The sequence below is a fragment of the Homo sapiens genome, chromosome 1, assembly GCF_000001405.40.
Source record: "Homo sapiens chromosome 1, GRCh38.p14 Primary Assembly".
Taxonomy (NCBI): Eukaryota; Metazoa; Chordata; class Mammalia; order Primates; family Hominidae; genus Homo; species Homo sapiens.
The window spans coordinates 246201369-246214280 of NC_000001.11; the positions used below are offsets into that span (position 1 = coordinate 246201369).

At 38.7% G+C, this 12912-nt stretch overlaps 1 protein-coding gene across 11 annotated transcripts in view; it reads right to left on the minus strand.

Moving 5' to 3' along the window:
* SMYD3 (SET and MYND domain containing 3) overlaps nt 1–12912 on the minus strand; it is a 757933-nt gene that overhangs the window by 452022 nt on the left and 292999 nt on the right. The gene's annotated exons all lie outside the window — the stretch shown is intronic.

Here is a 12912-nt window from a genome sequence, read left to right on the forward strand (position 1 = left end):
CAGAAAATGGGTGTTCATCTCTCTGGATCAGCTTAAGCACACGCATGCTATTTTGTTTATTATTTGGGTCACTATATCTGTAACCTAAGCAGATGGTAATATGCATTTTATATGAAATATTTAATTAGGCCATCAAAAACATGGCAGTACCAGCTGTCACGGCCTGCTGACCTTGGGAAAGGAGGAAGTATCAGCAAAATGAGGATGACAATGTTCAGATGAAACCCAGAAATGAAGTGTTTATGAAAATCTCAGTTGCTCTAACTTACCACACTTCAAACCAAGAAATGTCACGGAAGCATAATGATCCGGTTCACATCAATCACCTACAGGTCCACTGGGTTTATTAAAAACTATTTTCAGGCCAGGCGCGGTGGCTCACGCCAGTAATCCCAACACTTTGGGAGGCCGAGGCAAGTGGATCACTTGAAGTCAGGAGTTTGAGACCAGCCTGGGCAACTTGGAGAAACCCTGTCTCTACTAAAAGTATAAAAATTAGCTGGGCGTGGTGGCTCATGCCTATAATCCCAGCTACTCAGGAGGCTGAGGCAGGAGAATCGCTTGCACCCGGGAGGTGGAGGTTGCAGTGAGCTGAGATCATGCCATTGCACTCCAGCCTGGGCAACAGAGACTCTGTCTCAATTTAAAAAAAAAAAACAAAAAAAAGCCATTTTTAAATGATTTATACTGATACATACATAGAAAAACTGGAAATATGTACTGCAAAATAATAATTATTATTTCTAGATGGTGAGCTAATGGGTGATTTTTATTTAATACTTTTACTTAACGATATTTTCTATAATGTACTTTTATGATTTGAAATATTTTTAATTTAAAAAAACAGTGACATATACATATCAGTCCTTTTATTTAGTACTGTAGTTCCTGAAACACTGCCTTAAAAATCCATTTTTCTCATAAATAAATTTGAACACATTTGATCCTTTCTCATTTCTACATGACCACCTTTACATTTTTCATATCTGACCGCCCTATCATTGGCCTATGAAGCTTTCCAATCTCTTAGCCCAAGTTCTTTTTCCAACCAAGTCAGAGGACTCCTGCTACTGCAAACCCCAGGCTGGGCCTTGACTCTGCCTGCAAGAATTCAGCTGGAACCGAGTCAACTCCTTCCCCCTTTCCTCAGAGGCTTTTCCAGAGACTTCTCCCTTTCCTCAGTTCCCCAACCCATCACCATCTCCCTCAAATCATCGAAATGTGACGTATTAAATCCACGCACAGTCTCAGAAATGCAATTCCTCCTTGAAAACAACAGTTCTTGACAACAAGGACTTCCTGGTATCACGCTAGCTAACAAAATATACTCCAAATCCTTTTCCATTCAATACATTATGATACCTGCTTATGCATAAGCCTAAAGCCTCCATGGCTAGTGAGAGAATATGGTGATACCACAGTAACAAATCCAACCCAATCACTCCTCCACCTCTTCGCCCAGAAAATAAAGTCTGGAGGCTGGGTGAGGTGGCTCACGCTTTAATCCCAGCACTTTGGGAGGCCAAGATAGTGGATCACTTGAGGTCAGGAGTTCGAGACCAGCCTGGCCAATATGGGAAAACCCGTCTCTACTAAAAATACAAAATTTAGCTGGTCGTGGTGGTGGGCGCCTATAATCCCAGCTACTCAGGAGGCTGAGACAGGAGAATCACTTCAACCTGGGAGGGTGAGGTTGCACTGAGCTGAGATCGCACCACTGCACTCCAGAGCAAGACTCCGTCTCAAAAAATAAAAGAAAAGAAAAAGAAAAAGAAAATAAAGGCTGGAGACTTAAGAACTTTCTCCAGTTTCCTTCCCTGGTCCACAGCAAATCCCTCTGACCCCAGGGCTTTGTTTCCCTCTCACTGGTCCTTCAGTGAAATTAATTCAATAAATATCCACAGAGCTTTAATCCAGATGTGTGCAAGATATTGGGGATTTGTTCAGCCACCATCAGACACAATCTCTGCTCCATCAATTCTCTCCCGCTTCTGGACGCCAGCACCTCCCCATGGTTGTTCGCTAGAGCTGCCATAACAGAATACTACAGACTGGTGGCTGAAACAACAGCAACTGATTCTCACAGTTCTGGAGTCTGGAAGTTCAAGATGAAAGTATCTATAGGTTTGGTTTCCTCCGAGCCCTCTCTGGCTGGAGGAGCCACTGTCTTGCTGCCTCCTGACACGGCAGTCCCTCTGCGCACATGTGCTGTTGGTGTCTCTTCCTCTTCCTACAAGGACACCAGTCATACTGGACTAGGGTCAACCCTAAAGGCCTCATGTTAAATCACCTCTTCAAAGACCTTCTCTCCAAATATGGTCACATTCTGAAGTACCGGTGGTTAGAACATCAACATATGAATTTGCGGGGACACAGTTCAGCCCAGAACACACTCTCCTTCTCCTGGGTTTCTCACTTGCTCCTGGCTCTTCTACCTCAGTCAATAACATCCTCAAATCTTTTTCATATTTAATGCACCAACAACCCACTCCTAGTCCAGATCTTCCCCCTGTCCTATCTAGCTGCTTCCCATCACTGCCAAGATGTGAAAATACCCTAAACTAGAAGTCTCAAACTCAAATATAGAGGAGCCAGGAGAATCCTAAGTGGACCGGATGGAGAACAAGAGAGTACCAGTGCCTGCTAAAGGTGGAGATCACTATCCATTGCCAGCTAACTTCAGTCAGGTGTGAAAACAGAGCCCAGGGTATCTACTGTGTTTTGTAAGAGAACCCAGAAATATATTTATATGTAATTTCCCAAGTTTTATATGCTGATAATAAAAACAGAAACTCCCCCCAAAAACTGTAAGTGGGCCAAATAAAATAGGTTTATAATCTATTTTTCCCCTATTTTTTCCCTATAATCTCTTAAATTTACTTTCCCCATTTCCTGACCTGTCACTCATCCTCACATTAATGAAAACAGGCTTCTTTGTACCAATTCCTTTTCCCAGACCCCACTTAAACAGCTAATGCTGAAGCCCCCATATCTTACCTGCCATGCTTCCCTTCTCAAGTGTGAGCTCCTTGAAAGCAGATCCTGTGTCTCTATATTTCCAGTGCTGAGCACTGTGTCCAGCATAGAATGTGGGCTCAGTAAATGATTACTAAATAAATTGGCTTAACTCTTTCTTTAGAACAACCCAATGAAATGGAGGAATGATAAATCAAAGAATCTTACCTTTGTCAAAGCTCACCACTTAATTTACCTATTTGCTTCACTGGTTTAGCAAGATTCTGGACCATCATGTCACATATATACTCTTACATGGCACGACAGCTTAAAATCCCCACTTTTCCTTCAAATGGCACAATTGAGCTTCCAAAGAGACAAATGCTGATATCATTCTGTCATTTACCCAAAAGGTCCATTTATCTGCATGCTTAACATTTTAGAACACAGTCAATCATCAGAAGGTAAGAAAAAAATTCTATGAATTGTCAAAATAGGTGATTAATGTTCATTCATTAATTTCACTCATAAGCAAACTCTTCAGGCCTTGACTCAGAATCTCCTGGCTTTTAATTTTTAAACTATTCTAACATAACTTCATTTGCAGGAGAAATACATCAGGCCAGAACTATCTTTTACATCTGTTAGCCTGAGAGCCAGACTTAATTCCTGAGATACCAGTGTGCTGCTCTGCGGAGGGGGTTCCTTTGAACCCACTCCGAACTACACTGAATTTAGCCTCTTCTCATCTGTCACTTCACTTATGAACTGTCAAAATTACTCCAGAAGGGTGGAGTCTATGAAGATGACAATAAAAGAAGTTTTGTACTTAAAAGGAGGCATGGAATTTAGACGTAAGAAGACAGAAACCTAGGGTGGTCCTTACAAGGAGATACAGTTCAGCTATCACAAATTAGCTCAAGAAAATACTTAGGTGTCATCTCTTTCTAACAAAGTTATTTTCTTGACCAGGAAGCTTCCAGTGTTCCAATGAAGTGCTCCAAACCCTCTTTTCTTTCACTATAAATGTGGGCATGGTCTCCCTCCTGGAGTCCTTTCCCATGAAATATCCAGTACAGTCATGCGCAGTCTAGCCACAACTCGCCACAGGAAAAGCACAATATGAGGGACAGTGTTCACTCTCATACATCTCTGCTTTTGTTCAATCCAGGCATAACAGGAATTAGACAGGACTAGATTAAAAGTTCCCAGTTCCGGCCCAGCGTGGTGGCTCACGCCTGGAATCCCAGCACTTTGGGAGGCCAAGGCAGACAGATCGTGAGGTCAGGAGTTTGAGACCAGTCTGGCCAATATGGTGAAACCCCGTCTCTACTAAAAATACAAAAATTAGCTGGGCATGGTGGCGAGCGCCTGTAGTCCCAGCTACTCGGGAAGCTGAGGCAGGAGAATCGCTTGAACCCAGGAGGCGAGGTTGCATTGAGCTGAGATCGTGCCACTGCACTCCAGCCTGGGTGACAGAGAGAGATGCCACCTCAAAAAACAACAAAGACAACAACAACAAGAGCAAACTTCCCAGTTCTGCTACACTCTTAAGGCAAGTTACTAAACTTTTCTAAATCTTCACTTCCTCATATGTAAAGTGGGGATCACAATATTAAAGCCTATAAAAGGGTGAACAAATACTAAATTCACTGGTGTGATGAATTACCCATCATGCTGTCTTCAATTTCCACGTCTCAGCTGAGGCTTTCCCTGATGCTGCATGTGTGGCAAGGATCGGGCTTTCTATAGAAAATATTGAATAAAATAATATTCCTCCACTGTTTTTAGGACAACTTCAATTAGATGTGGAAATACTAGGGAAAAAAGAGTAGTCTTAAAATGTATTTTATAAAAATCTAGATACAACTTAAGCCTAAAATAAATTTAAAAAAAGAAAAACAAATTAATCCAGATGACATATAACTAAACATCAAAATGGGGAAGGAAGGAAGGAAGGGAAACCTACATTGAAATCTATTCTACCATAAACCAACATGAACACTTCTGAAAAGAATGTAAGAGGAGTTCTGGGCTATCTCTTAAGTAAAAGCAACAGGAATCCCATGGGTAAAGAAACTTGTAATAAAGAGGTATTTAGACTCAAAGAATCTCACAGAAATATAAGAAATAGAGTTAGGGTCATATGGAATGTTCTAGTGGTACCAAAAGCCACACAAAAATGACAGAGAAAAATTATGTACAGAACTTGTATGCTTGAAAAAAAAGTTACAGTATTATTCTTCTCTTGCTACCAATGCAAAACAAAAATCAATAACCAATTCTGTTTTCAGATTTTTATCCACTGTGCTGCATAAAGGCAATTTGGGGACTGTCTGAACAGAACTTCTAACTCAGCATCTTCTCAGACAAGTAGATTTGTCATTCTAACCAATAAATAACTAGTCATACTGTGGCTAAGAGAGCACTTTATATTTAATGCTTTAATAAAGCTCTGAAAAAGTTGGGAAAACTTTAAAACCTTAGCCACTTTAGAGTAATCATATTAAATTTTAATATAGTTTTATAAACTGTATAACAGCTCAGCTGATTTAACAACTGTAAAAAGCTAAATTCACAGAAAAATAACTCGTATTAATTATTGAATTCACTTTTCAGAAGCACTGATTCACCGAAAGTGATGGCAGACTCAGAAGCTTCTGAAGGAACACAGTTGAGTTCCCTAAACATTTCATTAGTGGGCATTACCAGGGAACACAATTCTATGCCAAACGTATAAGGCAGGTTTTAGGACTTCAGATTACCTAAAATGAACATAATAATGAGTAGTCACTTCTATAAAGATACTGGATATTGGATATAAAAATTAAATATGTGTTATTTGACACACCTATTCTCTATGAATAGGCTGTACCACACATAAAACATCAGAAAATCTGAATTCTTGTGTGTAGGTCATTCATATGTTTACTCCTGTCTTTTAAATTCATCTTTATCACCATCAGATCCTCATTACTTATTGTCTGGATGCAGGTTTCTCTTTTACTTACACTGCCTCTCCTTCCACGTTTTCATCGTTATCAGTGGCCCATGTTAGTAGGTTAATCTTAGTTTGTGAGCCTGAAGATCTCTTAGCGCTCCAAGATGGAACTGGTACGTGTCATCTTATTTCCATCTAAATACAGCATAAGGAGTGAAAAAGGTCAATGGACTGGGAGTTACTAAATAAAGGTGATGTGGAAAACAAATCATAACATAGGAGTATAAGCTAAAGGAAAGGGCCATTATGGTAATATCTATCAAGGACACTTACAAACAGTAAAAGACAAAAGGACATACAAAGAAACGTACAACTTAACTAAAACAGAAAAGAAAAAAGAAAAGCTCTGAAGTCTACAAAATTATAACAACGATGGGATATGAATCATGTTTTTTCAATTCTAAGTGGAAGGAAGAAAAATAAATCACATGTGCCTGGTAGGGGAGAATTTGCTTAAGAAAGTTTTCTCATTTTAGATTTGCTTTTGGGGTAGATGGTACTTTTTCACTATATTCTTCAATCTCAAGTTTTCACAGGAATCACATTAATAAGAGACAGGGACTGGACAATAACCTGGGGAGCAGTAAATTTGGGGGTTATTCTTTTGCATTAATTGGTCTAGTTAACCAAGATGTGCAAACTGCCAGAGTAGAAGTAAATCTACATTCTCAAAATTTTTTTAAAAATGAAGAGTGACAAGGAAGAATATGCCTCATTCTAGCAAAGTCATATCTGAAGAGAGAGCTGGGAAAATAGGTGAGATTTGAAATTTGTGTCTATATGATGTAAGACAATTTTAGAATGATAGTTATTATCTCATAGGCTAAATCAAAGCACAGCTGTCTCTCTGCATGCACATTTTGATTCTGCAACAGAGGTCCTGCAAGAGCCATCATAATGCCAGCAAATTAAATAAGGAGAGTTTGAAAGGCCCAGTCATTGTGAACAAGACTGAGGCTATTTCATTCACTTCACGTGGTGAAGTGCATTACGAGGAGCTGATATGACTGTAAAATGTATGGAGACACTATTAAGCTGAAAGGAATCTAGACATGTGGATAGTTCCCTACTCACTAACACTTCATGATAATAGAGTTAAATATTCTGAATAGTTCACTTCTAAGGGATTAATACACTTCCCCAGTACTCAAAATCATGTCTGCCTTTCAACTTATTTGAAAGGTTCAGTAATAACTCCTCAAATACTCACTGCTTGTCATATTCTAAATACTGAATTCTTAGATGCAAACACGCAGCTCCTATTAGGGCTAACGGAAGCTACATGTTTGTACCAAGGGAAAAACATACGTCTAGAAAACTGTTCTCTGCTGCTCATAGGCAATCACGTTGCATGTCCTCTCGTGGACGGTATAAAAATGCGTGACTATTTACGCAGAACCATTCAGGTGTTACAGGCACTTCCATAGCATCCAAGAATGCATTAGCCAAAACCAACTAAAGTAGTTTTTGGGCTCATGATCATTCAAGCTGAATCAATAATATTAAACAGCATGTGGAATGGGGGAAAACCAAGTGTAAAGCAACATTAAAACCTCTTTCCACTCAAGCATAATTCATTTTGATCTTTACTACTGGATTCAGCTAAAGGTCAAATAATATATGATGATTTAGATTCAGAAAATATATTATTTCGCTGTTGAGTATAGTCTGAAATGAGGGCAACTAATTTAAAAATGGAATCAATTTTAAAAATATAAATGTAATAAAAATGTCTCCATCACAGAATATACAAATTAAGTCCCACTATTGATTACTGCCAACATTTTAAGCCTCCCTACTCATATTGGTAATGTCTTTAGTGCAACTTAATTTTCTTCATATTGTGTCATACACATTCAATGAACATCATTCCAGTGAGGGACCAAGAACGAGGTCAGAAATGGCTGTGATGATAAATTACAGACCTTAATAACTTCTGAACAATTTGAAATGTAAAAGCCATCTATAAGTCATTCAGCTTGATAGATGAATGGTTAATGAATTATACAAACTAATAAAAACCATTAATTATTTATCTGTACTACAAAATGGCATAAGGCCAAGATCTTAAACATGGTCTGCATTAAGACCAAAACTGGGATTCAGGGTATATATAACAAGAGGGGGAAAAAAAGAGTTATCTATTAGAAGACTGTATAAGCAAAAATCACTTAAGCTTTATAAGCATAGAAGATTTTATTAAAGGACTGGTCAGATTCATAACTGACAGACCACTGAAATATTATCAGCATTGGGGTAAAAAAAAAAAAAGGTAACTGGTTGATTTAGATGTTTCCTTGTTCTTTTGCTTTTTGTTTTCAGTGAAAGGCAGTTTGAAATTTCCGTCTTAGTGGTTTGTACTGCAGAACACTGAGATCAAGACTTGGGTACTTTTGTATACTTGCATTTCTTGCTCTTGCATGAGTCCCAAGCAGTGATGGGGGGCTACCCCTCCCCACTAAGGAATAATCACATTCCAGTTTCTGGAAAGAACTCAAATTAGTCTGACTCTAGTGAATCAAGAGCAAGTCCAAGATGGAAACACAGGAGAGGCAACCTGGGAGGGAACAGACTGAACAGGTAAAACTACAGTTAGTAGCCTCCCCGTTCATGAATTACAACTGACAAATGACATCTTATCTGGTAACTCTGTCAAATCTTCACTAATTCTTCGACTTCAGTATTTCTCAAGAATGGCTCTTCTACTACCAATATCAGAATCACCTAGAGAGCCTGTTTAAAATGCATATTCCTAAGTTACTTTCCAGACCTCAGGTAACAGGACATATTCCAGAGGTCTGGAAATAGGTAACAGACCTCACCAAGTGTGGGGCTGAGAAAGCTTTTAATGATCTGCCCAGGATATTCCAATGTGCCCTAAAGTTTGAGAGTCACAGTCCTAAGAGGATGCTCTCCATTACACCACCCTGCAGCAATGGTGCCTACCATCACACGCATAGTGCACATGTCAGCAACGTAAGAGATGCCAAGCTCTTAAGTGTAACAGGGTGCCTTGAATATTCCCTAAATATGTGAGAACATAGGCATGACTGGATGGATAAATGCATGAAGGAGAAAACTAACAGTACTTCTGATATAAAATAGGAATTCTGATTCCTTTAGAATTGGCTCTACAGCACTTTGGGAGGCCGAGGTGGGTGGTTCACCTGAGGTCAGGAGTTCAAGACCAGCCTCACCAACATGGCGAAACCCCGTCTCTACTAAAAATGCAAAAATTAGCTGGGCGTGGTTGCGGGCACCTGTAATCTCAGCTACTCAGGAGGCTGAGGCAGGAGAATCACTTGAACCCGGGAAGCGGAGGTTGCAGTGAGCCGACATTGTGCCACTGCACTCCAGCCTGGGCAACAAGGGCGAAACTAAAAAAAAAAAAACAAAAACAAAAAAAACAGAATTGGCTCTACAAATCCATTCGCAGCTCTCCAAAAATCCCCAAGGTGCTCCAAATTTCTCACAGTCTATATATTTGACCGTACGATCTTAACTTCTCAGGTATTGATCAGAGAAAGTCGAGAGGAAGGAGGAAATGCAGGGCTTCAATTCTGATTTCGCAGAAACATGAGTGCTGCACTGCTTTCGGCCCCGCATGGTGTGCTGGCAGACACCACCACTGTCCCAGGCGCGTCTGCTGTGAAAGCCGTTGCTTAGCAACAGCAATCAATGCTGTATTTCCTCTTCACCATTTTCCTGAAGATTGAGACACTGCTCCAAGGTATCATTTTCAAATACCTTCTGTTTCACTGACCAAACATGTTTGTTAATTTTTCTATTATAGGAAAAAAAAATCATGAACCAAATTGGTCTAAGAATCCAGGAAAGAGGAGTGAGGGAAGGTCAGTATAACACCAGTGCTTTGGGATTTGTTTGATGAAGAAAAATTCTTTGACAGCTCATTGACTTTATTTGCTATACCGTTTCATTCTGCCATTTTAGCATTGATTTCTGCTACCTCATGGGATATGAAAGTCGTTAGCATGAATTATCATTCTAAATGCAGATCCACAAGGTACTGCCATAAAACACAAAAAGCAAATGATTTTCAGAGACTGGTTGAATACACATCTCACATCTCTGTTAAAGCTCTTGTCTTGGTCATGTTCTTATTAACCAATAACAACAAAATGTTAAAAAAAAATAAACATCTCTCCACTGATACCACAATATATAATTCTTTCAGATGGGCAATGTTTCTACTAAATTAATTGTACCTGTGATGAAAGCATATAGACAATACCAATATTTACCTTAGGAAAAAGGCAGAGAAAGTACACAAGAGGGAGACAAATAAAAGGGGGAAGAGGTAGTAATTTTTATCAATATGTCCTACCAATGAATAGATTCTTCATATAAAACCAAAAATGAGACTTGGGAACTTTACATGACATCTTCCAATAAAGAAACTTGATACTTGCTTGAAGTATATACGTGCAGATATGTTAGTAAGTGGTGGAATCCAACAAGGTGGATATTGTGTGATATTTATTTTTCATGTTTATTGAATATCTACTGTGTAAAAATTCTATGGGTAGCATAAAGATGAGTAAAATGTAATCCCTGTACAAGATTGTGGTAAAAAAAAAAAAAGTCACATAAATAAATACAGAAGAATACATATTACCTCAGATAATCACTCAAGTATTTAGTAACAACAAATATTCCACTTAAGGTGGATTATATCTACAACAGACAAAATGAGTAAATCGGAATCAAAAGCTTTTATTTTTTTAAAACACTCAATACTGGTAAGGATGTAGCGACATAAAAATGCATCATGTGCCAGAAAAGACACAGGGCTGGTAAACTAAATCAACTTTTTCAAAGATAGTTAGCAATATGCAACAAAACTTTTAAATATGCAAATTTAAAATGCTGACACAGTAATTGTATATCTAGTCAATTATTTCAAGGAAATAAAGATGCCAACAAAAGATATTTATTTCTGCTACATTTAAAATAATAAATACTAAAATGTTCAATATTAGAAGAATGATTAAATGCATAATGGTAATAATTATATGATAAATGAGTACCATTAGGGTATTCAAGAATATTTTATGAAAGGAAATAATTCCTATAATGTTAACAGGAAAAACATAAAAGCAGCCAATACATAAATGCATAGATAAAATAGTGGAACAAATGAAAATGCTAATGATTTTTGGTGATTTTTATTTTCCTCTCTTTATTTTTTCTATGCGTTTCTAGGTTTTTTGTATTGACTGTCTACTGCATATTTGGTCACCGAAAAATGTCCCAACAAATAAAATCTATCAGTCTCATTTGACTTCCTATTAACCGATCTGTTTTATTTCAACTTAGAACTTCAACCCTCACTGGTATCAAGTACTGCCAAGTTGAATGATAGTACTCTTAAGTTTCCCAAGCATTTTTAGACCAGCAGTTTTTCATTTCCATAAAGATCTAATAAATTTGGTTAATATTTTCCACAGAGAATAGCTGTAATGAAAGCATAAAATTTAAGTTAATCTAAACAACAAATATGTACCAAGCACAAGGCATACAAATGTAGACAGGACGTTCTTGGGTTATGAGAAATGGATTTCAGTAACTTGCTCTCCCTTCAGTGTCCTTCCAGAAGATATGGGGCCTTCAGGTACAGCATTTCTCTGGTGTCAGAATATATAGTCTGTCTACAAAAGGAGCTCTAGTATCATCCAGGGCAGGTGATGACACTGTCTACAACTGCTAACCCTCTACCATCAGATAAACTAAAGAGTGAAGGATGCAGAGAAATGAATAAAATTAAAAGAATTCTGTCAAGGGAAATTAGTATTCTTTCAACCTTCCTCAATCTCATATGATGTCGACACAGATACACAGGATATCACATGCTCTTTTTGTCAGTTACCTGTGACTATGGATGCTGACAAAAGCACTTTTCTAAACCCAAACACCAAGGGCCAGACTTTCCAATGCTTACACAGCAGCATGTATGTTAATACCTGCATTATCAAAGGAGGAAACTGAAGATTTGGAATGGTGAAGTACATTGGCTAGGGTCCAGCTCATCCGCAAGAAGACAAAACTCCAGTGAGTTTTGAGTCAGGTTATCTCCTAAGTCCGTGTTTCCACCATTATAGCACATATGATCTTTGAGAAAATGGATAGGAGAAAGGCACCCATTGCAAAGGAATAACATGAGCAAAACAGAGCAGCAGAAGTCAACAGAACATTCTCAGGCCCTGCACACCCAAGTTTGCTAGAACAAGGGCAGGGGAACACTCAGCTACCTGGTTTGTTCACCCAACCTGCCCTGTCTACTGCACTTCCACGCCAGGACAGTGGCCCTGTTCAAAGGTCAAAACCAGTCCCACTCTGATGCTCCCCTCCCTGGCTCCATTCTCACTTCAGCATGATGATCTTCTCATGGTCCCTGAGAATATCTTAGCATCTGTAATGGCCATCGGCCATTGAGTAAATCCCAGTTTTAAACTTGCCTATAAAGAACGAACTTAGTGTGCTTTTCTGCTGCTTTCTCTCATTGAACACAGTTCTTTCTCTTCCTTCAAGAAGAACCTTTCTGAAGCACCTTGAATTTCCTAGTTTATAATCTCTGTGAACTCCTGCTATCAAGAGCTCTGCAGAGCTAGCTTCCATAACCTGTCCTCTTTGGTGACTCTCTCGTAACACCAAAAGCTCCCTTCTAACACCAACAGGCAAAAGATGGTCATGGTTTAATATTTTAGGTACTGTTCCAGAATTAGCCAGACTGTGGTTCTTAATGTTTGCATCTGTTTGTTTACAGAAATGGTGGTATTGATCTAATGGAACACTGGAACTTGGTCTTTACAATGGCAAGTTGTGGATGATAAGGTTGAAAAAGACAAGAGAGGAGTCTAGAAATCCAGTCAGAGATTAGATTTCACATCCCAGGTCACAAAATGGTAGGGAGATAATACATTTGTGAAAGCTTTATT